Source organism: Homo sapiens, chromosome 5 (genome assembly GCF_000001405.40).
Source record: "Homo sapiens chromosome 5, GRCh38.p14 Primary Assembly".
NCBI lineage: Eukaryota > Metazoa > Chordata > Mammalia > Primates > Hominidae > Homo > Homo sapiens.
The window spans coordinates 81179429-81205843 of NC_000005.10; the positions used below are offsets into that span (position 1 = coordinate 81179429).

General features: G+C 43.7%; 1 protein-coding gene across 6 annotated transcripts in view, besides 2 other annotated features; it reads left to right on the forward strand.

Moving 5' to 3' along the window:
• RASGRF2 (Ras protein specific guanine nucleotide releasing factor 2) overlaps positions 1-26415 on the forward strand; it is a 269800-nt gene that overhangs the window by 219066 nt on the left and 24319 nt on the right. For 5 of the 6 annotated variants that reach the window (NM_006909.3, XM_047417464.1, XM_047417463.1 and 2 more), the window contains 2 exons: positions 747-853; positions 21902-22014. In NM_006909.3, the coding sequence (NP_008840.1) occupies positions 747-853; positions 21902-22014 (220 nt within the window). Of the gene's footprint in view, positions 1-746; positions 854-3752; positions 3887-21901; positions 22015-26415 lie in introns of those variants that run through there. The other variant, XM_005248565.2, reaches the window with a different exon arrangement.
• Positions 12653-13161: an enhancer, noted in NCBI's record as "H3K4me1 hESC enhancer chr5:80487900-80488408 (GRCh37/hg19 assembly coordinates)". NCBI's record gives its function as "activates a minimal SCP1, AML or CMV promoter by ChIP-STARR-seq in primed H9 embryonic stem cells {active_cell/tissue: H9 hESC(primed)}" and the evidence as "EXISTENCE:reporter gene assay evidence [ECO:0000049][PMID:30033119]".
• Positions 13162-13668: an enhancer, noted in NCBI's record as "H3K4me1 hESC enhancer chr5:80488409-80488915 (GRCh37/hg19 assembly coordinates)". NCBI's record gives its function as "activates a minimal SCP1, AML or CMV promoter by ChIP-STARR-seq in primed H9 embryonic stem cells {active_cell/tissue: H9 hESC(primed)}" and the evidence as "EXISTENCE:reporter gene assay evidence [ECO:0000049][PMID:30033119]".

The window sequence follows — 26415 nt, forward strand, 5'->3', positions numbered from 1 at the left end:
GGAGAACAGTGATTTAAGAGCAGGCACTCTGGTTGTGGAATCCATGGGGTTTTTGTAAATTTCCTTTTTAATTGACAAATAATGATTGTAGATATTATATTCTTATGGGGTACAATGTGATGCTTTGATATAGGTTTATGTCGTGGAATGATCAAACCGAACTAACAGATCTATCACCTGGCATATTTACTATTTGTGTGTGTGTGGTGAAAACATTTAAAATCTACTCTTGTAGTATTTTTTAAATACACATTCTTAGCCGTGATGCTGTACTGCTTCTCAGTACAGGGATGCACAGTAAAGTGTTTGAATCATCCATAAGCCAAGATATGGCCTAATTCATCTACAGATATTGAAAATGTTATCGGTTGTGCAGTTACTGCGAGGCAAAAGTATAAATTAATGCTGACTCAAATACTTGGTTAAGATTCCTTCTTGGCTTTGTATTATAGAGTAAGACAGGCATAAATGGAGGTGTCAGGAGAGCAGCTTTAGCTTTAATCAGTGGTCTTCAATAAATATGTGTGCATTATTTATTTAATTGCACCTGTAACCGCACGAGGGCCTTGCTGCTGAGAGAGTAATAGGTGAGCGGAATTCACAATAGTCTGAAGCCACGCGCACCTCTCTGCCAAGAAGTGTCATCTGTGAGTTTCGTTAACCAATGTCCTAAAATATATGACCTTTTCCAGGTCCCTAGGGAGTGGCTTTAACTGCAACACGTGTGTGTTTCTTTTTCTCCTAAGGCTTTAACAACACCGAGAGAACATGTGATAAAGAGTTTATTATACGGAGAACGGCTACCAATCGAGTTCTGAACGTCCTCCGTCACTGGGTCTCAAAGCACGCACAGGTAAGTCAGTGCCCTCATTAATTACTTGCAAGGATTTTTTAAAAAATCATCTTTTTAAGTTGTGACACATGTAAAACACCTCCCTACTCTTTGGAGTTCAATGTGAAACCTTGACACTGGAACTTAGGAAGGGAAGAAATAGGCTAGGCATACAGATCAAAGCAGACACAAGTGTCTTGCCAACATCCACTGTTTCAGATCTGCAAATGACGTGACACAGTGAAACGGGGCTCCTCTGTCCCTGCAGCTTCTGAGGAAACAGCACTCACCCATGGGCACCTGAGCCACAACAAGGCCTCTGTGCTGTGCCACCTACCCTGGGAGCACTTTTCACAGGGTCTTCTCTGTAAGTGGAGCTATGCTTGAGAGGCTGCCAACTGCAGTGGTATCCCCGCCCCCCACCCAGCTAGACACAAACCTCACGGTCCCCCCTGGAGGTAAATAACACTCTGGGATCTGGTCAGGGAGTGCTTTCTGGGCCTGATTCTGGAGATATTTTGTCTCATGCCCGTTGATGTTTTGGGTCCCAATGCTGTTTTTAAATTGTGTTACACTGACAGGACACCCACTTGTTATCTGTTTATGTGTTTTCAGTGCACGTTTGTAGAATTTATTCCCCTTTCACAAAACAAGTCAGGTGCCACTTTGCCCCCCTGATGTGATGCATGCATAATGCTTTTCTTACCCACTGCCACATACCAGGCAGGCCCTCCTGGACACCCACCTGCCTGGCACCCTGCAAGGAGCATTTGAGAGAGAGAATGGGCCCTGCCTGGCTCAGAGCAGAACATGTGCAGCATATATTAAAAGAAATATAATCAAATTGTCAGTCTGCTAATGAGAATCGTGTGTTATAAATGGCACTCCCATGGGTAGGTATTCCCAGGTCTTTATTATTAGGTTGGTGCCAAAGTAATTGCAGTTTCTGCCACTATATTCACAGAGCCCATCACATGTCTGCTGCGTGGTCCTCGGTAGTGACAGTCTGTTCAATAGGGTCACCATGAGGGCAGGCTCCTGAAACCCCTGTGGTAAGGGAATTTACTAATTAGGAAAAGTGGCATTTAAGCCTCACCACAAGTAAGCCCATAGAAGTTCTTAAATATTAATTAAAGTAATAAAGATAGCATACTAAATAATGTAAACATTCCATCTTACACATCTTAAATAAATAGAAAAAATTTAATCCTCTATGATTCAAATTCCAAGAACCATCCTTAGTGCATGAGAAATGTCTAGTCTCTTTTCCCTGTAGTCTCAGTGAGCTGCTGGTAAATCCATTTTGCCTCACTGCAGATAAAACACTATAATGAGTTTTAGCATTTACAGTTTTTCCACTGTCTGATGGTCCATCTTATTCCTCTCTGATTTTTTCTCAAGAATCTTGACAGTTAATTCCTGGGGCCCACAGTGGCTTCTAAGATGCAAAGTAGCTTTGCATCTTAGATAAGGCTGAGCTGGTTCTCTCCCCTGGCCTCAGCTCCCCTCCTCCCTTCCAAATCTTCTCCCCAGAGCCCTCCAGCCTTGGTTCCCCTATTCACCTTACTTCCCTTTTCTCAATCCCCAGTGCCCTCTTTTTCTAATTATCTCAAACAGGAATCCCTCCCAATTCACATATAATTTTTACAGTAGCTACAAAAGTACCACAAAGCAAATGACAGAATGCTGGGAGTTTTTTATTTTTGGTGAAAAAATTCATAGATGGGGAGAGATTAGTGTATGGAAGCCCTTTACAATAAAGAGTTTTACAGTAAGGTTTGCCACCTGATTTGGCAGCTGAATTGTTTAGACGGTTCAGCTGCGTTGCGACCTGAGTGACTGCAGCTGTGCTTATACATGAGCAAGCTTGTCCATCTCCAATTCCAGTTAGAGGGATCCCAGCTCCTCAGACTCTCCCTCCAGCAGGGGCATAGGTGAGTGATGTAAATAGCTCAGGGATCCAGTCTTCTCTTCTGACCTCACCATTGGGTAAAATACAGACCCTGGCTATTTCGTTCACTGATGTGCCCAAGGAAGTTCTTCCCATAAGGTCTTTCCTTACCTCCCCTGCATGCATGAGTGGGCCTCAGGGCTCTATGGCTGGTTATCAATGCCCTGGTGCAACCTTGTCATGTGAATCTCCTGTCACCTTCCTCATCCTCTCTGTATGAGTACACGACCGTGTGCAGGACATTTCTGTGAAATTTCCACTTAATGGGAATTGCTTTAGGGCATTTTTTTTCTTTTTTGCTGGCTTTAGTGTCCAGATTCCCTTTCTTCCTTTTACTGACTCACTTATGGCTGCCCAGTAATCATTTGGCCTCCACAATGGGTGGTTTGAGCAAGTCAAGGCAGGCTCTTGGTGATGGATTGGTAAATGGTTCGAATAGACAGAGCTGCTCTCAGCTCACACAGTCTTCGGGCCTCATTGTGTGCATACTGCCTCCTCTCACCAACTGTGGGCCTAGCCTGGGCCATTTCATTCAGAAGATGTGAAGGTGGCCCTGGCTTCACAGAGCCTAAGCAAGCTGACTGTTATGGTGCTTTCAGAGTAACAGCCCATCTTGGTATCTTTATCCAAGTTTATCTGCAGGTCTTTACTCTCCCAAGGCAGCATATAGCTATAGATGGGACTGCTGGTCTGAAAACGTGTGCTATAATCCAGCTGTCAACCAACCCTCACCCTTATTGTTTTTGGTTTTCACATCATAAAGCGAAGGGCTTGGATACGATGATTTTTAATTATCTGATTCACTTTGTACTAGTTGAGTCCATTTAAGGAAGAATATAGCATTATTGTGGCAACCTGATTATTTTGAATCAGTAGCTTTTAAAAAATGAGTAGGAAGTTGTACTCATCTCAAAACTACAGCCAAGCATGGTAACAGTTACATTTTTTCTCACATGGTGAACTACCCAGGGAGGCCACTTCGATTTCTAGAAACAGAAAAGCTGTAGATCCACATCAATCAAGATGTAGATTTACCCACAGATCTAGAGAATCAAGGCTGCCACAGAGTGTTCGACATCATCTAATTATTTCTCACTTCTCATCAAAGGTAACTAACATTGGCAGATACTACCTTGAGCTTTATTCAGGAGAATTAAAAAGTTGCAGAAGTGTGGGGTTAGGGGTTGGTTCTCCAGAGAAATAAGAATGCCCCAGGATGTCACCTCCTAACTCTACCCCATGTGGTGCTAGGATAGCATTTCATCTTCTGGAGCCTTCTAGTTTTTTCTTTAGTTAATATTTGGGGAGGCTAGGATGTTCCATTTTTAGGGGGTTCTAAAAATCTTCCTATGTGAATACATTCTGGCCTATTGCTCCTGATTTTGTTATACCTTCTCACTATTTGTTGCCTTTTAAGTTGAAAGTGAAGCCACAGGCCCAAACTGGGTTTCTCTCATGTGCCTTGTCTATCAATCAGCAGAGGGAACAGCAGCCCAGAGTCAGGGGACCAGTGTTCTTACTCCAGCTCTGCCAACTGTAGCTCCTGTGGGGCCCCAAGCTGGTCTCTCCACCTCTTCGGGTGTTAGTTTCCTCTTCTGAAAATGAGAACAACCATCCCTGCTTTACCTCTCCCAAGGATGTGATGAAGTTAAAGATGATGCTGAATTAAGCATAAAGCATGATATTGATGTGTGTGATGAAATCCCTTTTGGCTATGGACAGGAGAGATGCACATTTCATCACCCTACAACCAGCCTGTAAGCTCCTTGCTTGTCTCATTCATCTTTGCATCTCCTTTCACATAGTTCTGCAATGCTGAACACATGGCAGATGCCCAGTAAATACTTGTCAAATTGAGTTTATAGTTTAATGTTTCCACTGTTCATTCTCTCCTGGAGGTCATTTTCTAGCCTTTAAAGTTTCCAAAGTCAGCCCAGACAGAGACTATGATCACTAATGGATCAGAAATCAGGGCCATGTGTTTAGACAGTCTAAGTAAAGGAAGTGTTTTCATTAGAGGTCTACATGCTTCTTGAGCATCTCCTGCTGGGAGGCCTTACATATCGTTTACACAATTCCCAGGTCCCTGCAGGTTTCAGACCTGTAGTGCTATTAACCACATGTTCCCGTGATTGCTTTTGTCCTCTGCGCGCAGACAGATGGATGGGGGCTGGCTATAGACATTTCAGATCTGTGCACAAGACTCTGTCGAAGGCCTTTCACGTATGATCTATAGCAATTTTTGTTTTCCTCAATTACCGTATTGACCAACCAATTCTGAAGAGATGCTCTGTCCATTTATTCGAGGAATTTCACAGACCATGAATGACGCTGGTAAAAGGGCTGCAGCTGTGTCTGCAGATTACCACTGGCGCCATCAGGCTCTGGGTACTGTCTGAATGACAAGTGGCCGAGAATGAAACAGTCACATATTTTCTTAATTGGAGGCTTAGGGGCATGTTTTTAAAACATGAGATCAGACAAAAATGACCTACCTACATAAAAATCTCCTCCCCAAAGGAGTTTACAGAGGAACACTGCTACTCCTTTTTCTGTTTTCTCACCTCCTTGATTCATTCACTAATAAGAATTGGGCACCAGAATGTTCCAGACATTGGGGTAGGTGTGGGAGTGACCAAGATCCAGGCAGTCTCTGACCTCAAGGGGCTTCCAGCCATTGGGAAAATGCCCACTAACAGCCACTGGACTTAACGTAATTATGTGTGTGGCCGGCTGTTAAATCGAATTCTTCAGATTGTTTCTGACGTTCAGGCAGAGGACCAAAGGCACAGGGGCAGGTAAAATAGGTAGCAGCAACAGCCTGCATGGCCTTAATGGAGTGGCTCGGCCACCTAAGCAAGACCAGCTAAGAGCTCGTGAAATCAATCCTGCTAGCAATTGTGATCACCCACCTGTGGGAAGTTGAGGTAGGAGAGGTCAAGGAGAGGGAGATTTCCAGAGAGAGGCATCTGTGTAAGTTCCCTACCACTATGGGGAAGGTGGGGAGATGCCTCCTTTTCACTTCTAGCCACATGGGAAATGCTTCAAGGAAACCATCCAGCTAGCCTCCGTGTTAAGGTGAAAGGTGCTGGCTGGGCAAAGTGAAGAGTGGTGGATGCTAGGAGTGAGCTGTATTCATATGTGTTTGAGTGAACCAGATGGGTCCATGGGGAGTCCAATCTGGATGGCCCTGCATCCTGCCCAAGAGGACGGCCTGGAGGGGTGACGCGTAGACAGACGCTGGGTGAAAAAGACCACTGGCAGCCCAGGGCCTGGGGGAGTTGAAAATGACTCACAGGAGGACAGACATTGCCAGGGTCAGGGGAGCTGGCCATAAGTCTCCCACAGAGAGGTCTCCAAAATCTCACCAAAGTGCCCCACACAGGAAAAGCTGGCCACTGCCCACCTGCCACATCTAGAGAGAGCCAGGGCTGGGCTCCCCTTACACTATCATACTAAATTATTGCTTTCCCCTGGACCTGAGGTACAGGATCAGAAGCAATAGCCAGCTAGTAGAGAGGTGGTGGAGACAGCAGAAAGGGCCTCCTGTGCAGGCCACTAGGATGGAAGCAGCCCACGCCAGGGCTAGAGGGAGGCTGGACTGAAGTTTTGAAGAATATACTGAACTGGACATTTTGACTGTTGAAATGACACCATTCTTATAAGCAAAAAGTACTGAAAGACATTGGTGCCTGCCCAGAACTCCATGTCAGGTGGGGAAGGATAGGCTATCAACTGGTTTACTGGGACTGGCAAGAAGCAGTAATGCCATTTGATGATTCCGTTATTACTTATGATACAGGGAGTCTAGGGTCCCTTGGGAGAGCAATTTCACAAAATCTATCAAAATAGCTCAGCTGTTATATTTCTAACTCACTCCAGTTCTCTTACATTCATTTTATGGTGAACAAAGAGACACATTTTTAGCTAATAATGAATAACTTGAGTTTACATTTCAGTTAACATGCTTTTTGGCATTTTTATTGAAATATCACATACCGCATATAAAGGGCAATAAACTTCAGTGTGTAGGTCAGTGACTTTCTGCCTCTGTATACGCCCATGTAACTGCCACCCAGGTCAAGATCTGGGACATTTCCAGCACCTGAGAGGGGCCTCCAAGTCTCTGCCCCTCTTCCTGTTACCCCATGCTCTATTAGTTTTAGTATTGTTCCCATTGACATTATGAGCTTTTTATATATTCAGGACAAAATCCTTTATCTGTCAAATGATATTCGTTTCTCTCAATTTGTTCTTTTACATTTAGCATTGCTTATGGTATGTTTTACATATATGCACCCTTTTCCCATTATAAGAGGGTTTTATATATACTCTATCCTATAAACACAGACACACACACGCGCACACACACAAAACAGAGTCCTTTTCACTCTTTCATTAAAATATATGTTCCCTAACACTGTCATAACACAATTAACAAATAAATATAGTCTGAGGTAGAAGACAGGAATTAGCGGATCTCACAACCACACTCTAGTCACTCATAGCAGCTGAGGTGAGAATTTTTACGTCTCCAAAAATCACAGTAGGAGTTAAATTCAGTCCTCATGTGTCTTTGTAGCAGAGATCTCAGAGCTGGGGGTACTTCGAATCCTGTTGGAGGTGTGAAGTTAGGGTGATCTTGATGGAAATCCCTGCTCTGGCATTTACTGGCTGTGTCTGAGCAAACTATTTAGCTCCTCCAGGCCTCCATTTCTTCATCTGTAAAAATGGGGATTAATGCCACTTTTTCCTCTGTGGGAGGGTGAGGATTATGTGAGTTAAAACATACAGAGTAGCCATTACAGATGGAGGCTCAAAGCACTGCAGATGCTGCTCTTGATAGAGATAACCTTGTGAAAGCGGCATCTGGTCCAAACCCAGACCTTCAAGCAGGCCAAATGCTGTTACCCCCGTTTGACCAGTGAACCACCTAAGTCTCAAAGGGGTTTAGTCAGCATCGCCCAGGTAAACTTGCTGTGATGGTGGAAATGTTCTATGTCATGGTGCCCAGTACAGTAGCCTCTAGCCACATGCAGCTAATTGATCACTTGGAATGTAGCTAGCATGGCTAAAAAGCTGGAGTTTTAATGTTATTGAATGGAATTAAATGTTAATAGTCCCACGTGACTAATGGTTACAGTATAAACAGCACAGTTCTAGACCACTCAAAGGTACCATAGGGAAACAGACCCAGCTGTCAAAATTCCTTCCAGTCTCCCACAGTGCCTCATTCCTCTGAAACAAGAACCCGACCGGGTGGTCTCCACGATGGCTCCAGCAATAAGCCTGCTGAAGGGGGCACACCTATATTAGGTTTGTGGAGAGGAAAACAAAACCTTTATGTAACCTCAGAGTCACTGTTATCTCAGAGAAGACCATGGCTCTTTCCCAGTAAAGGAACCAACCAATGAGCATCCGTCTGCTCCACAGAATTTAGGTTTTGGGGCTGCAGTCCCAGATCTGAGGTAAAGTGGGGACATGCCCTCTGACTTATTAAGGTGGAAAAGTGTGTGACGGTGTGATGGCCTCTACTTAGTGTGCTCAAGGTCTCAGGGATCAGATTTTCCCAGAATGTGAGTGGACATAGTTCATCTCTTCCGTTTCTTATTTTGACAGATGACAGGGGCGGCTTCTAAATTTTTTTGTTGACTATTTGGCATTGCCTAGTGAAACACAAAATTCAGTGTTGAATTAGAGCACTGAGTTCAGGTTTGTTCATTGTTCTTGTTCATTGTTCCAAATCTGAAATGGAGGTTGGGCTAGGACAAACACAGCACAGAATTTTCGGTGTGGGCAGGAGAATGAAAAGTGAAAGAAACAACCAGCTATTGAGCAGGCAGCTGCTGTCACCTCTCCTGACGTTCCTGGCCTGCTGCTGTCACCTCTCCTGACGGCTCCTGGCCTGCTTCCAGCCCTGCCCTCCTCATCCATCCGGGCTCGTGTCAGTTGGCCACAGGGTACTTTTCTGTCACACTCCTGGCCTGGTCTCTGCCCCTTAAAGAGCGGATCTTCTCTTCCATTTGCAAGGCAATCTCAGCATATGGGGGCCTGACCTTTGAGATCTTTATAGGAGAAAGATGCCTCTCTGCTGTGAATAGGGCTTTTGTCCCCACTTCCTGAAGAAGTTCAAGACTTTAAAAGCCCCTTTCCCTAAGCCTTCACCATGGCTGGATGAGACTTCCAGTGCAGAAGTGTGTCACTAGGACTCTGAGCAAGGAGGACGAACCATTGAATTGCATAGAAGTCATCTAGGAGCAGCCTGAAGTTTGGTATCGGTTTAGTTATGATATGGGGCACATGGTCTTTTATGGGTGACTTGAGAACCTGATTCTTAGAATGAAGGTAGGTAGCTTCCTCTGTGAAGATGGATTCTGAATGACAGAAACCCAATTTAAAAAAAAATACTGTATCACTTACTTTATATCAGACACTGTTTCAAGTTGTTTTCAAATATTAAGTCACTTACTGTGACTCCACTCGTTTGAGGGAGAGGAGGTCGATGTTGTTATTACCACTGCTTTACAGATGGGGAAATGGAAGCTCAGACTGAACCATTTCCCTGAGGTTCCACCGATAGCAAATGGCAGCAGCAGGTTTCAGTCCCCGCCGTCTGGCTGCACAGTTTTTGCCGGGAACCCCCAATCTTGCAGCCTCTCCATCTTGCAGGCCAACTGTTGAGATGCAGACCGCTCAAAATGTGAAACATAAAAACCCGCTTCTGACTCAGGACAGTGAGAATAGCACATGTCAACACTGCCAATGCTTTCCCTGTTTCTCAATCTTTCCTTAGGAAAGTTACTTTTGACCCTGAGTCTATTTTGTGTTGCTCAAAGGATTTGTACTTGCTAAAGGCTGGTGCAGGGAGGAGTGCTGTGCCCCTGCTGACAACCACTGCACCTCCCAGGCTGAGATGGTGACAGCAGACGCCCCGGCCAGCCTCCCCAGGCCACCTGCCTGCAGGAAGTACAGTCAGAGCTGCCCGCGGTGAAGGGCCAGGAAACCCCCGCTGTTCTTGAAGCCTCAAGACCCCAGATATCCCACCTTGACAAGTGGGTGAGATGCTGCCCACTGCTCAGGCACCACAGAGTGCCACGAGGCTCCTGGGCATGTCCCCAGCTGGTAGGACTGATGGGGATACCAGGAATAAGAAGATAAAATTTGGTCTCAATGTGAAATGCTAGCAGCTATGAGATGTTTTTAAATGACTAATGAGTTGTCTGCTGCTTCAGCCTTGCAAATGGTGTTTTATGTTTTTTTTGTTGTTTCTGTGTGTGTTTCTTTTTTTTTTTTTTAAGAGATGGGGTCTTGTTCTGTCACCCAGGCTGGGGGGCAGTGGTGCGATCGTAGCTCACTATAGCCTTGACCTACCCCTTGCCTCAAGTGATCCTTCCACCTCCGCCTCCCAAAGTGCTGGGATTACGGGCATGAGCCACTGTGCCTAGCCACAGATAATTTTATACAATCACCATGTCAGAGGATAATCGATGGCCTATATACTTTTTTTTTTTTTTTTTCAGAGACAGAGTCTCGCTCTGTCTCCATGCTGGAGTTCAGTGGTGCAATCTTGGCTCACTGCAACCTACACCTCCCAGGTTCAAGCAATTCTCCTGCCTCAGCCTCCCAAGTAGCTGGGATTACAGGCATGCGCCACCACACCAAGCTAATTTTTTTGTATTTTTAGTGGAAACGGGGTTTCACCATATTGACGAGGCTGGTCTCGAACTCCTGACCTTGTGATCCACCCGCCTCAACTTTCCAAAGTGCTGGGATTACAGGCGTGAGCCACTACGCCCGACACACTTTTATGTCAGTCTCACCCTTTTATTATTTATCAGCACCCATTCACTTCTAGCTGTCGACACTGTCAGCCTCTGCGTATCTCAGCTAAGAGATCCCAAACATCCACCAGGCACACACCAGTGTTTGTTCACAAACAGATTCCCCATGACAGCCGCCCAAATGAAATAGAGAATGCTCCGTTTAATTTAAATAGGCCAGCAACTTCAGTTCCTTTTGGCCCCTTCTGATTTCCTGGACACATAGGCTGACCCTTATCTTTACGGCAGTGCTGGGTCCTGCTGTAATCTTTTACTGACCGCTGCCCTCTCCTTCTCCCCTCAGAACAGATGCCTTAGGCGTCACATTTCACTTCAGTTCTTCAGAGGTTCCTGGGTCAAAAAGGTCTCAGATGAGGAGAGAAACCTGGAAACTTGCACACTAGTTTGGATTCCATTGTTAGCTTGCTAGTTTCCACATTTGTAAAATTGGCAAAATTATCTGTGTGAAGTTATAATGCACAAATGAATTATTTGTCATATCTCTCTGGAAAATATGAAATGTAAGAAACTATTATCTGATAAGTATGGATTTTCTTTTCTTTTTTTTAATTCCAAAGATAGATTTTTATTCTTTTTCTCTGGTCCAGGCAAACAACCAACCAAGTAAGAAAATCCTAGTTCCTTGAACTATTTACCAAAGTTTTTTCTTATTTTTATACATCCCTATTGTTATCCTTTAAACTCTCCTTACAGTGAGACATTTACAGCAGGATTTATTAAGCTAGCATAAGCTAGATTTAAGCTTTTAGGAAGTGTGCCTTCAATGGCACTGATTTTCCGTTTTCATTAGCTGCCGAAACAGAAACATTTTCCCCATTGAACTAGTGGGATTCCTTAACCTTTTGTGGATGGATTTCGTTGATGGAATTTTATGTACTTCGATAGCTTCTTATCTCTGTTGTAAGAGTTTTCTGATGCAAGTGCCATGGAGAGCCCTTATTTTTCCTAATTTGTCTCCCCACTCTTGTAATCACTCTTGGACCTTGGAAGCATTTCTGGAGACTGCGGCATGCAACCCTCAGCATGGGGAACAATGATCCTGACATCACCTGGTCCTTGTTTGATCCGACCAGGCCTGGACCAGTGCTCTCCATCACTTCAGAGCTGCCTCAGAATGCCAAGAGCTGACTTAACATTTGTGTTATCAACTGGTTCTCAAGGCCCCACGGCTCTGCCTTGCTTGTTGCCTTTCTCTTTGTGTTCCTCTCCTCTCCACTCTGCTCTCAGATGTCATTAACTTATAGCTCCCAATCTCTTTGCATAAAGTCTCTCCTTGGGTGAATGTCAAAGATGCTACTTCCTGTAACTCTAAGTGCATCTTCTCCTTGGGGAAGGAAGGATGCACCCACCAGCTTTCTTTGTCAGTCTTTTTCCCTCCTATGGATCAGGGTAAAAAGAAAAGTATAACTAATGACTACTTTCTAGTTATATTAGAGTTAAACTCAAAGATAATTTTGTTGGCAGGGGGCATTACTTAAGAAAGTTAAATACAGTTTTAAATATTGGCAATAAAAGGATGCCCTTCCAGACTTTTCATTTTCCCTCTGGTCTTTGTCATTTTCTTGAAAATGACAATCCATATAAATTTACCACCTACCTAATGGAAAACACAGCATCTGAAAAAAAAATTCTCTTTTTTTCTGGTAAATGCTTTTTAAACTGACTGATTCCCTTTTGGGGCGTAAAGATGTAAGCTTGGAAGCGATCTGATTCCGGGGTTGTGGGGCAGTATTTAAAGATTCCTGTATGCACAGCTGTTCAGAACTAGGGGCTGAATTTTAGCAGTCATTCAAATGCAGAGTCATTTGTCAGCAAATGATCAAATAAATAGTTTTCTGGATGGGTTTTTTCCTTCTCACTGAATTAGTGTCATTCATTGCCATTTGCCGCTTCCCAGTTATTTTTGTTCTAACATATCTTCCACATTTTCGCTGTGCCTTCTCCCCGTAGCCTCCCACTTCACATCTGCTAAACTAATTTCCCAAACCACCAGTTTAAAACTTAGGTAGCTTATTACCACTTGTCTCAAAGTCAAGTATTCTCCCCCATGGACTTTTATGCATTCATTCTACAAACGTTTGAGGGCTGACCAGGAGCAAGGCACAGAGCTTACCAGATTTGGGGTTTAATTGTCTGTGGGTTTTACTACCTGAAACATAAGTCCCCAGATGATTGTCAGGCATATATTTTCTCTACATTCTGTTCCTCTTTGAAGATTCAAGAACCTACTGAGTAGTTAATGACTAGTAAGTATTGAACGTGTATTGGAAAGTTTAGAAGTACTGTCGTATTGCTATGTAGGGTTTAATTCCAAACTTATTGCCCTTCCTTATGTTTTTCTATTAGAATGTTCTTTTTCATCGTGTGAACAATGAGGCTTTTAAAATATTTTTGTAGTTAGGCAATGGAAAATGCCAGAAAACCCTACCCTTTCACTTTTCCAGCAAGAAGCCCTGATTCAGAGTCCCTGTTGCCCCAAGGTGGCGCCGACGCAGGCAGGCCAGCGGTGGTGGCCGGTGAGCAAGGCGAGCGGGTCCCCTGCAGAGGCTCTCATCCCAGGTTTTAGCCAGCACAATCTCCCCTGGAAGAGGGTTTCAATGTTAAAGTTTTGAATAAGGTCTCTTCTCCTCAGAAGAGTTGAAAACCACCTTGGTTTAGGAGGTTGTCTCTAGTTCATGAACATGAGGAATGCAAACCTGTGTACCCCAGACCTGTCAAGGCTGATTTGCATATATCATGATCATTCAGTGCCTTTGCCTCAGCTTCCCAGTTTACAAACTGGCCCGAGTCTAAACTAACTCTACACCACAATTTAAATTCTTCATCTTGTGTAGTCAAGACAGAAAACAGTAGTATGTTTTTCATTTTCTTGAAAATCATTAAATTAACCCCCCACCTCTTATTTCTGAGCTCAACACATCCTGAGTCCTTCTTTATAAGCTCTTTGTTCCAGATTTTAAAATTATTTGTGTGATTTTAATCCACTCTGCAGTATTTTCACTTTCCTTTTAAAACCTCTGGCCACTGTTAGGAATATACTGTACTTATTACACTGAGAAAATTACTCTCATAATTCTCTTTAGCCTCAAACTGTGTTTATAGAATCAGATTTTCCCAATGTCCTAGAGTTCCCTTGGCCATGTATAGTAAATTACTAATTACTACCCTGCTCTCCTGAAAGAATGAATATCATTTCTAAAATGCCTAAGCTATCAACAGGGATTCGTTTTAAAGTGCTAGAAAATCTGATTTATTGCTTTGCAGATGATTTTTCTGGTGTATGATCTAGCCTCATTAATGCAAACTAGTTTATTCAGACTGGAAACCACAGTTTCCAGATCCCCGTCTCAAATGGTCATCAGTGAAGGGAGATAGTTCCAGGCTCTGCAACTGTTTGACATTTCAGCCTTCCCTTCCCCAAGCCAGCAGCCACTAAGTCACTGATAGCTGCTTTTTTCTTTTTTTCTTTTTCTTTTTTTTTGAGATGGAGTCTCACTCTGTCACCCAGGCTGGAGTGCAATGGCACGATCTCGGCTCACTGCAACCTCTGCCTCCTGAGTTCAAGTGCTTTTCCTGCCTCAGCCTCCTGCGTAGCTGGGATTACAGGCGCCCACCACCATGCCCAGCTAATTTTCGTATTTTTTAATAGAGATGGGGTTTCACCATGTTGGTCAGGCTGGTCTTGAACTCCTGACCTCAGGTAGATTCACCCGCCTCAGCCTCCCGTAGTGCTGGGATTACTGGCATGAGCTACCGTGCCCAGCTCGATAGTTGCTTTATCTCAAGAGGTTGAGTGGTTAGAAAAGCAGTTTAAAAACTCAGGCTTTAGCCAAGAGTTTAGCCTGGATCTAAGTCATGGGCCTGCCACTTGCTAACTGTCTGACCTTGGATAAGATACCTAGATTTTCTGTACCTGGACTTCCCCATATGCAAAATGGAAATCATGATAGTAAATATGTTGCAGTATTGCTATTGACGATTAAATGAGATAATAAAGTAGCTAAAATGTGGCCAGGTGTGGTGGATCACATCTGTAATCCCAGCATTTCGGGAGGCCAAGGCAGGTGGATTGCTTGAACCCAGGAGTTGGAGACCAGCCTGGGCAGCATAGAGAGAGCCCCATCTCTAAAAAAAAAAAAAAAAAATCTTAAAAATTAGCTGGGCATGGTAGCATGTGCCTGTAGTCCCAGCTACTTGGGAGGCCGAGGTGGCGGGAATCCCTTGAGCCCAGGAGGTCAAGACTGCAGTGAGCCATGATCACACCATTGCACTCCAGCCTGGGTGACAGAGTGAGACTCTGTCTCAAAAAAAAATTACCTAGCATGGGGCAACCTCTCACTGTCTTACTTACAATTACTTTAGGATTTTGTTTGTTTTTTGTTTTTTGTTCTTTTTTTTTTTAACTGATCCAGGTAAAATGCTAATTTTCCTAATTATTTATGAACATGTTGAGTAGAGTCAATACAATTTTGGTAAAATAGACTCATCTCACAATAGCATCTCTCCCTTGGAAGACTCTGGCATCATCGGTGGACAGTGTTTTGCTCCTAAGCGTGTGCTGGGTGCCACACTCCATCCCTTGACAGTTTTTGTCTTGTTCCTGGCCAGAACTACCCGCTTTTTGCAGGTGGTTTCTGGACCTCAGTTTCCAGGCCCAGCCTCTCCTAAGGGTCAGTAGGGCGTCCCCAAGGGGGGCCCCTTGCAGATGGACGCCCTCCTCAAGCCTCTCTTGGTTTCTTTTGTTAATGTTTCTTTCATGTGCAAACCCACCCAGAAGTCTGCTGCTCCGCCTCCACTGCAGAGCGTTGTTTGTTGAGTTACTCAGTAATTCTTTTTGAAGGAACAAGAGCTATGGGCTCCTTTTCAGAGAATGAAATATAAACGTCTTGCATTTTCTGAGTGCGCCACCTTTGAGAGCAGGGCGGTTTCTTCGTTCGAATCCTCTCTCTCCACATCCCTGCTTCAGGAATTGGAAAACAAAAACTAAATTAGACGCTGTTGCTTTGATAACTTCAATAAGTACCTCGGGGTCTCTTGGGTGCCATGGATTCGCTCTCCTGGCGCATGAGGCTTCGTGCGGCTTCGTGTCATAAACATGGGCAGGCGACATCCCTCCTCCAGGCCTGCGGGCTCCACCCAGGGGCCCGCGCCAGAGCCAATGCTGACCCGGGAGCGCCATCTTGTGGGCGCCTCGATTGCTGCCTCCGAGAAGGCGCTCGGGTACGTCTTATTCCACCGTTTCAGGACTTGGGGAAATGTAGCCAATAATTACATGCCGGACAATTACAACATAGCTGTCAGCCAGACATTAGGAATCACTTATCTCTGGATTTAAATAGGGCAAATGTCTTTTTGCTGCTTTAGATTTCTTTCTATTGAGGAGCAGCTACTGTATTTTCAACAGGGACTTTTGAATGACCAATTCTGTATTTTACATGCATTTGTAAAAAATAAAATCATTCTAGGTAGTACATCAGAAGATCTAGATTTCTTTTACTTCTTGAGATTTTTTTTTTGTGACCTTTTTTTTTTTTTTGATAGATAAACAAAGGTAATGTAAGGTCTTGCTACTCAAAAGGTGGACCCCGGGCCAGCAGCATCAGCATCACCCGGGAGCTTGTTGGAAATGCAGAATCCTTATCTCTGTTCCAGATCCCCTGAATCAGAATCTAATTTTAGCCACAACCCCTAGTGAGCCCTGTGCACATGACAGTTTGAGAAGGGCAAGTATAAAGGACTACGAAGGAGTCAGAAGGACTGGTGTTCTTGTCCCAGCCCCTCCATTTCCCCATGCTTCTCATCTCAGCCCATGTGATCACCTCTCTTCAGCCTGTGTGGCCGATATGTGACGGGAGACCATGAGATTATGGTTCCTGACTTGTCTGATGCTGGGTCAGCTAAGGAAGGATTAAAATTTTATACACGGCCGGGCACCGTGGCTCACGCGTGTAACTGCAGCACTTTGGGAGGCCAAGAAGGGCAGATCATTTGAAGTCAGGAGTTCGAGACCAGCCTGGCCAACATGGCGAAACCCCATCTCTACAAAAAATACAAAAATTAGCTGGGCGTGGTGGTGTGCACCTGTAGTCACAGCTGCTCGGGAGGCTGAGGTGTGAGAATCCATTGAACCTGGGAGGCAGAGGCTACAGTGAGCCCAGATTGTGCCACACTCCAGCCTGGGCAATAGAGTGAAACTCTGTCTCAAAAACAAACAAATAACAACAAAAAATTATATACTAAAGGTCACTTTGTACATTGTAAAAACCTGTGCAAATGTAAGTGAAAATTATGGATGGCAAAAATTCTTCCATTTCATACTCCACTATCAGAGATTCTGCTTTGCATTATATCAGAGTCTGATTTATATCATCAGCAGCAAAGCAACTATTCAACTGCGACCATTTGTCATGCTTCAAATAGTGTCTTGGCAGATTTCATTAAGTCCTTCAAAGGTCCCTCTCAGACCAGTCTTCCCAGAGTTCAAAATAATAAAATTACATTATGCTTTTCTTAACAAGACCTTTCCCACATTTGCCATCCTGGGGCCCCAGAAGCGTCCCCCACCCCACTCCCCCCTCCCCCGTTGAGCCCAGTATGGGGCACAGTAGGTACTCACTAATGCCGGTTGATCAAACCACTAATTGACCCTCAGCACGGTCTAAACAGTAACCTGATATCCTTCACACTAATCGTGCATTTATGATAATCAGATTATTTGTATCATTAGAGACCTGACATAGCTACATGAGGACTCAGTTGTCTCACTAATATATGTGAAATATTCATTAAGGAAATAAAGTCCTGATGGCTGAGAATGTAGTGCACAAAGATTGATGAAAGTGAGAGCATTAACCGTTTACAAACATCCCTTTACCTTGAAATGAGGGAGAGAGTGGAACCAAAGGAAAGAACACTGGCAAACTATTACTCTCTTCTCTTTATGTACATTTTAAAAAACTAATAGCAAAAAGGTGTTTGGCAATAAATAGGTGAAATTTTAGGAAAACATCATCTGAAGCCTTAATATTGATGAGATATTGACATCTATGTTGCTCCTGGGCCCCAGTGGCTCTTGTTTCTGAAGAATTGGGACTATGGTCAAACAGTGAAAAGTAAAATATTGGCCGGGCGCGGTGGCTCACGCCTGTAATCCCAGCACTTTGGGAGGCCGAGGCGGGTGGATCATGAGGTCAGGAGATCGAGACCATCCTGGCTAACAAGGTGAAACCCCGTCTCTACTAAAAATACAAAAAATTAGCCGGGCGCGGTGGCGGGCGCCTGTAGTCCCAGCTACTCGGGAGGCTGAGGCAGGAGAATGGCGTGAACCCGGGAAGCGGAGCTTGCAGTGAGCCGAGATTGCGCCACTGCAGTCCGCAATCCGGCCTGGGCGACAGAGCGAGACTCCGTCTCAAAAAAAAAAAAAAAAAAAAAAAAAGTAAAATATTGGGAATAACTTATTACACCATCTGCCACCCAACTGAGGTACAAAAATACTAAATTCAAATTAGATTAGACTTGCATTGTCTACAATTTGTGAAATTATGATCTTGTTAATTGTTTTTACCAAATATAGTAAAATCTTGCTCTTTTCTTTTTACCTGATTCGTTGCAATTAACAATGTTCTCTCCAATCATTTAAAAGGATTCAGAATGTCAGTGCTTCAAAATTACTTTCCTGAAAGTTAAAATGTAATTATAATAAGTAACTTTATATGGGGGAAAATAAACACTCATGTCTGTACATATAAAGATATAGTCTATCAGAGTAAGATCCTCAAAAGCAGGACTTTGCAGTGTTCAGTTCATCTCTGAATACCTAACAATTCCTCTCTGCTGCCTGCACGTGTTTTATAAGGATACATTTAATTAAGTAATGAAAGAGACACAATTCTACCTTTTTGTTCTTTTTTTCCCAACATTTACCTTGAAAATTTTTTGAGAGAAAAATTGCCAGAATAAAAGAAAGTACACTGATACACATCTAGAATCCCTCAGAAATCATTCACATGTTTAACGTGTATTCTCTCTCTCTCTCTCCCCAGACTCCCTCCAAGAACAAAAACCTGTTATTTTTTTTTTAATTGCATTTTTATTTTAGTTCAGGGGATACATGTGCAGGTTTTGTGTGGCGCTGAGATTTGGGCTTTATTGATCTCATCACCCAGATAGTGAATATAGTATACAACAGGAAGTTTTCCAGCCCTTGCCCCCACCTCCCTCCCTCCTTTTGGAGTCCCCAGTGTCCACTGTCGCCATCTTTATGTCCACGTGAACCGAAGATTTAGCTCCCACTTATAAGTGAAAACATGTGATATTTGGTTTTCTGTTTCTGCATTAGTTTGCTTAGGATAATGGCCTGTATCTTCATCCATGTTGCTTTATAGAACATGATTTTTTTTTTTTTTGAGACGGAGTCTCGCTCTGTCACCCAGGCTGGAGTGCAGTGGCGCGATCTTGGCTCACGGCAAGCTCCGCCTGCCGGGTTCACACCATTCTCCTGCCTCAGCCTCCAGAGTAGCTGGGATTACAGGTGACTGCCACCATACCCAGCAAATTTTTTATATTTTTAGTAGAGACGGGGTTTCACCGTGTTAGCCAGGATGGTCTCGATCTCCTGACCTCATGATCCGCCCGCCTCAGCCTCCCAAAATGCTGGGATTACAGGCGTGAGCCACCGCACCTGGCCCATGATTTCGTTTTTTAAGGCTGCATAGTATTCCATGGTGTATGTATACCGCATTTTCTTTATCTAATGCACCGTTGATGGGCACCTAGGTTGATTCTGTGTCTTTGCTATTATGAATAATGCAGCAATGAACATGCAAGTATATGTCTCTTTTTGGTAGAGCAATTTATTTTCCTTTGGGTATATACCCAGGGATTGCTGAGTCAAATGGTAGTTCTATTTTTAGTTCTTTGAGAAATCTCCAAACTGCTTTCCACAGGGACTGAACTAATTTGCATTCCCACCAATAGTGTATAAGTGAAGAACCTGCTCTTAGACAGCCAACAGTAAAATGATCAAATTCAGGAAAATTTCAGATTGGCAGAATGCTCTCTACTAGTGCATAGTCCTGATTCCATTTTTGCCAGTTGTCATAGTAATGCCCTTTTAAAGCATTCGCCTCTTGACTCCAGGTTCACAGGTTGCATTTAGCTGTTATCCCTTTGGTGTCCTTTGAGCTGGAAGAGTTCCTCAGTTTGTCTCTGTTGTTTATGACACTGACATTTCTGAAGAGTACAGGCCAATGCTTCTTCAAAATTAGATCAATTTATGCATTTTAGGCAGAAATACTAAGGATGTATTACATTACAGAGCATTACATTAGTAGACATATGATGTTGGTTTCTTCCATCATGGGGGATGGTAACTTTGATCACTTGGGGTAAGGTGTTATCTGCCAGATTCTCCCTTTGTAATTAATAAGTAATCTCTGAGGTGTACTCTGACACTGTTAATTCTGTTCTCTAATACACTTCATTCAACCATTTTAGCATTCAGTCATGATCCTTGCCTGAATCAGTGATTACTGCTTTGGTTGAAAATGGTGATTTTTTGCCGGGTGCAGTGTCTCATGCCTGTGCGGTGGCTCCCAGCACTTTGGGAGGCCAAGGCAGGCAGGTTACTTGAGGTTAGGAGTTTGAGACCAGCCTGGCCAACATGGTGAAACCCTGTATCTACTAAAAATCCAAAAATTAGCCAGGCGTGGTGGCACACACCTGTAATCCCAGCTGCTCAGGAGGCTGAGACAGGAGAATCACTTGAACCCGGGAAGCGGAGGTTGCAGTGAGCCGAGATCACGTCACTGCACTCCAGCCCGGGTGACAGAGTGAGACTCCATCTCAAAAAAAAAAAAAAAAAGAAAATGGTGATTTTCTAACTCATTTATTTCTTTGCATCTACTATTTGGAATTCTACTATAAAGAATAGCTTTAGGCTGGGTGCAGTGGCTCACGGTCGTAATCCCAGCACTTCGGGAGGCTGAGATGGGAGGGTCACTTGAGCCCAGGAGCTTGAGACCAGCCTGGGCAACATGGCAAGACCCTGTCTCTACAAAAAATTTAAAAATTGGCTGGGCATGGTGGCACACACCTGTAGTCCCAGCTACTTGGGAGGCTGAGGTGGGGGACCCCCTTGAGCCCAGGAATTTGAGGCTGCAGTGAGCTATGATCACACCACTGCACTCCAGCCTGGGTGACAGAGAGAGACCCTGTGATTTAAAAAAAAAAAAAAAAAGAAGAAGAATAGTTTTATTTTCTACCTTTTTAAAATCTGTCTGTCTTTGTGAGCATCAATATCGATAGGGACTTACAGGTTCTTCTTATTAAACTGGTTATTGCTTATTACTCTCATTATTCATTTTGATGCTCATATTGTCCCAACTTTCCCCAGTGGGTGCCTCTTCAATCTCACTTCTATGTTCATTCGATGTGGCCCCATTAGTCTGTGTCATTCTTTAGCTCTTAGCATATCTATATTGATGTAGATATAGATATTGATAGCCTTAGCATATTTTCATTCAAGTTACTGCTTAAATGACAGATTTTATTCTTGCAGCAAATATTCTTTGAGATACTGGTATGTCACAGTTACTGATCTTACTCATGGTCCAGAAAAAAGCCAGGCAATTAAATTGGCCCTTTCAATGGAATACAGGGAGTTGACAGCCGTGAGTTACGTGTGCCGTGGGTGCACAAAGAAAAGCTCCCAATCCCACTGGGTGAATTAAGAAGACTCCAGGGAGAGTGCATATCATCTCCTAGGCCCAAAATATGAATAGAAATACATGTATGGAGGCGGCATAGTGTTCCAGGCTATGAGAAGCACATATCTCTTGAGGAACTGAAGGCATTTGTTAAGTCTAGGACAGTGTGAGTGTGTTGGGGGCGTGGTGTGTGTTGGGGGCGTGGTACGTGTTGCAGGCCACAGGGATGCAAGCAGTGTGAGAGAAGAGGCTGGAGGGGTGGGCCAGGGCCTCGTAAGCTCTGTTAAGGACCCTTCCCAATGGCTGTTCCTAGAGGCAGTTGTTCTCAACACTGACTGCACATTTGCACCCCCTGGGGAGCCCCCAGGGGAGCCTGTCAGAACTACCAATAACAGACCACCATTCCTAACCAATTAAATCGGGACCCTAGGTGTGGCAGGGAACTCTAGGGTCCATACATTTTAATTTCCATACCTAGCTTCTAGAGAATTTATCATGGAGAATGGTGTCATGTGTCATAGAGCTAACCCTTTCAAAGCTAAAATTTAAAAAGATTCATTTTATTTTACAGGATTTCGAACTCAACAATGAACTAAAGATGAATGTCCTAAATTTGCTAGAAGAAGTTTTGCGAGACCCAGACCTTCTTCCCCAAGAAAGGAAAGCCGCCGCGAATATCCTCAGGTGAAGGCAGCTGAAGATGCCGACTGGATGACATTGGTTGATTCCTGCTATGTTCATAGAAAATAAGAGCCAATAAATCTTAGAATCCTGGGGACAGTGGGGACTATGTTCTCAGCAGTAAAGTGTTATGTATTATCTTCTCTTTCCTGGGGGCAATTTGGGGTCTGCTGTCTCAGGAAGACTCGGGACGGGGTGGTATAACTCGTGTGGAGTGCAGTTGCTGTTATTTATGGAGGCAGACAGCGGTTTACTATAGAACCAACAGTTAAAGAAAGGAACCCTTGAGGAGCCTCTCCTGCAAGTCCGGCAGGCATCAAAGAGAGATGATGTTTCCTCCTGTGGGTTGTAATTGTTTATTGTAAGCTCATGTTTGTGAGTGTGGTTGTGTCTGTGGGAGTCTCGTGCACCTAAAATGTGGATGTGACATCACAGAGTAGTTAGGAATTTTCTTTGGCTCATTTCACTGGTCCTCGACCAGCTTTTCTACAGCTTGTCAGTTTAGGATTTCCACATCACGTAGGTGGTATGACTATGGGGGATTGTATAAGGTATGACTCCACACTTCTATGTGATAAAGGCTTCAACTTTGGGTGTACTGCTAGAGATTGTGTCCATAGTTGTTGCACCCAGTATCCAAGTGGGTAACAAGCTTTCTTATAGCTTCTTGAACTGGTGGGTGGATTTTTTTTTTGTCCACTCTATGTGGAAAGGGCAGCCATTGCTAGCTTTGTGCAGACATTTCAGTTGCAGCTTCCCAGCTCACTCATAAGTACGTCCTCTGTCCGTGCTTGGGGATGGGAAGCCCAGCATCTCTCTGCCAGGGTCTGGTACTTCTTTACCACTCTCATTTCTAGTTCCCTCTTCATTTACAACCTCTAGAAATGACCCTTCCTTTCCTCGAAGCTTGGCTGCATTGTCTCCTTGTTACATGTTATCCAGAATGTTTGTGTCATCCACAGGCAGTCTATTTTAGCTCAGTCCATGTTTTTGCAAGTCCTTCCCTGATGCAGCAACACCAGATGTTGGTTTGTGATGTGTTAGCAACTGGCCTGTAAGTCTTTCTTAGCCCCCATTAGCTGAAGATCCCATAGCCAGACCGTTCTTTGGTGTAGGGTCTCTTACAGGTAGAATTGTATCTCCCTACCCCCTAAAAGATATATTGAAGTCCTAGCCTCCCATACCTCAAAATGGACCTCATTTGGAAATAAGGCCATTGCCAGTGTAATCAGTTAAGATGAGGTACTGGAGTAGGGTGGAGGTATTGGAGTAGGGTGGACCCCAATCCACTTTGATTGGTGTCCTTATAAGAAGTCAACCATGGAAGACAGACACAGACAATGCCATCTGAAGATGGAGGCAGAGACTGAGTTATGCAGCTGCAAGCCAAAGAAAGCCAAAGATCGCTGGCAAACCACCAGCAGCTAAAAAGGCAAGGGAGGGTTCCCCTCCAGGATTCAGAGGCAGCATAGCCCTGCTGACTGTTCGATTACAGACCTCTGTCTGGAAGGTGAGACAATACATTTCTGTTGTTTTAAGCCACCCAGTTTGTGGGATTTTATTAAGGCAGCCCTAGGAAACAGTTAGGGGCCTTCTTCACTTTTTCCATTCTATGAAAACATCTAAGTAAGCCCAGGGATTCCACTACTGTGTCTGTTTTCAGATTTTAAAATTGTAAGTACATATTGAGGTGAAGCCTGATTTCAGTGCATGAGGGACTCTGAGTGATTACTGTTTCTTTTCTCTTCATAACTAGTTTGTTATGCTCTTTGCATTTAAAACACTAATATTTAAAAACTAGATTCAGGAAGTTTGTGCCCCTAGGGATATTTGACTAAATAGCTATCAGGGAAGTGAGGGTGTTCAGGCTGGGAAAAACTGTCAGGATCAACCAGTATGAGGGCCTTTTGTTGCCAATCCCCTCAAGACGCCCATGCCAGACTTTACCCATCAATTCTGAGAGCTTTCTCTCTGCACCAAGAGGTGACCTCAGACGTCAGTCAGTTGGAGTTGGTTCTTAAGATGAATCCTGTTTGCCATCCCAGGTCTTGATTATTCATCAGGCTTCAGATGTGCCAATTCTTTCTGCTGAATAATGACCTGAGAGTTAGCAGTGTAAGATTGATAGGGAACAGAAATTTTAGTAGGCAGTAGAGCTTGAAACTACAACACTGAGCAGAGTCTGATTCTACCTTTTGCAGGATGTCACAAGGCTAAATCTTGGCTCGGCCATTTATGGATGTCAAGTTCTCAACCGGTCCAAACCTGTTTCCTCATTTATAAAGTGGGACTCATAATAGCTACTTCATTAGGTTGTTGTGAAGAGTACATGATGTGAAATGTGTAAGGAGGTTAACACAATGCCTGAAAAGTCATTAGCACTCGTAGTAAAGTGAGTATTATTACTGTTAGAAGCACTGACAGTAGTTCCTGGAAAAAGTAGTTTCTGCCGTTAAGGCCATATGGCCCAAGTGAAACCAGGCTGGATCTTAGTCAACTCAACTTTCTTTAGGCTTCGTCACCTTTTCCACACAAAGACAGTGTGGACCAATCCCAGGACAGACACTGGTTGCTTGTGGCTCTGTTTTTGGACTACCCTAATTGAAAGAGGAATTTTCTATTCATACAGCTTGGATAATCCCATTTCCTTTTATTTGGTGTGTCATTATAAATGCACAATTATTAAACTGGTGATACTGCTGATAGACGTGGTAGTGATGGTGGTGGGGAACCCAGGATCCTGGAATGTTCATCAATGCCCAAGCATCGCCAGAAGACTAGAAGCAAATCTTTTCTCTATTGGAACTGAACCAGAAGTGCAGAGGCCTCCACATCTGAAGGGAAAGAATTCTGAACCATGCCCTCTAGAAAACACAGGCTATGACTGTGAGAGATAAAAAACATATCATATGGTGGTTAAGTGCAGCCCTGACATTTAGAGATTTATATGCATTCCTGACATCTAAGAGATATGAACATAAAACATGTTTTCATGCATAGGTTACATTAATGCAATAAAGCAAATGCTCTTTTGAATGAAGCCTCCCTGACTCACAGTCTCACAGGGGTCACAATTAAGTGTATGATGAATACACTTAATTGCCATATATAGTTTGTTGCCCTGTTTGTAAATAAAAACCTGTACTCAAAACTTATATTTCTAAAATACCATCTCTCCTCCTCCAAAGTTGTCTAACTAGCTGTCTTCAAAATCTATTCAGTGTAGAGTTTTTCTAGATACCCAACATGCCACAAAATAAAAAGAAATAGTGATTAACTTCTTGGATGTTCAACTGTGATGGGCTCAGGTCATAGAAAAGTCATCCTCAAACCCCACATAGCATCAACAGGAAGGCATAAAATGTTAGGTAACTTAATGGCACCAGAGTGCCTCTTGGAAAATGAGGGTAAGATCATTGAGAAGAGGAACATTTGATGGGAGCTAACTAACTTTTTGACTTTTTCTTTCCAAGGGAAAGATATTACCCAGCTTCATAAAAAGATCTTTCCCACTGGTACACATAATTATGGAGCCACAGATCTCTCTCCAGGAACCTAGAATGGTGGAAAAGATGATGTGCACTTTCGGAAAAGTCACTTTTATCTCCCATGTGTAACCCTTACATGTAATTTAATAGGCTTTGGAGAAAGAGTTAGCTTTAACTTATTTTTTCCTCATCTTAATCTGCCCTTTAAGATAAAATGACTATTTCTTTCTACTCACAAATAATATGGCTAAGTGCCGATAAGAGGGCTGCTACTAGTATAATCTAGAAGGCTCCTGCTCCCCCTTCAGACAGCCGAGGGAAGGGAGTTGTGTTTATTGACTGTGTGCTGTGTGTGGGACCCTTGAAGAGGTGCCTTCCCTGAGCCTGCTTAAGAGAAGCGCAGAGTAAAGGAAGGGCCCACAACCCTGAGCAACTTAGTCAGTGTCTTTGAGCTTTTGTTTCCTTATCTGTAAAACGGAGATCACAATGCCTGCATTATCTGCTGTCCTGTATAACAATCCCTTGGAAGGGATCTGTTAGGATACAGGAGATAGTGCATGTCAAATGTTTAGCACATGCCTGGCATAGAGCGGGCATACAGGAAGCCATCTCTGTTGATATTATGTTTTTGAGGGTTGTGGCTGTTGTTTTAATCAACTCAGAACACAACAGAACATCACATCATCATTACTTCTTTTAAAAGTAGCTTCCTCTTACTCTAGTTTCTCTTCATATCGCATAAATCTTTCGCCTTTTACTAAAAGTAGCTTCCTCCAGCAGAGTACATGGTTTGGGACCGTTTAACTATTTTATTTTGTTTTATTTTATTTATTTATTTTTGAGACTTGAGTCTTGCTCTGTCGCCCAGGCTGGAGTGCAGTGGCGCTATCTCGGCTCACTGCAAGCTCTGCCTCCT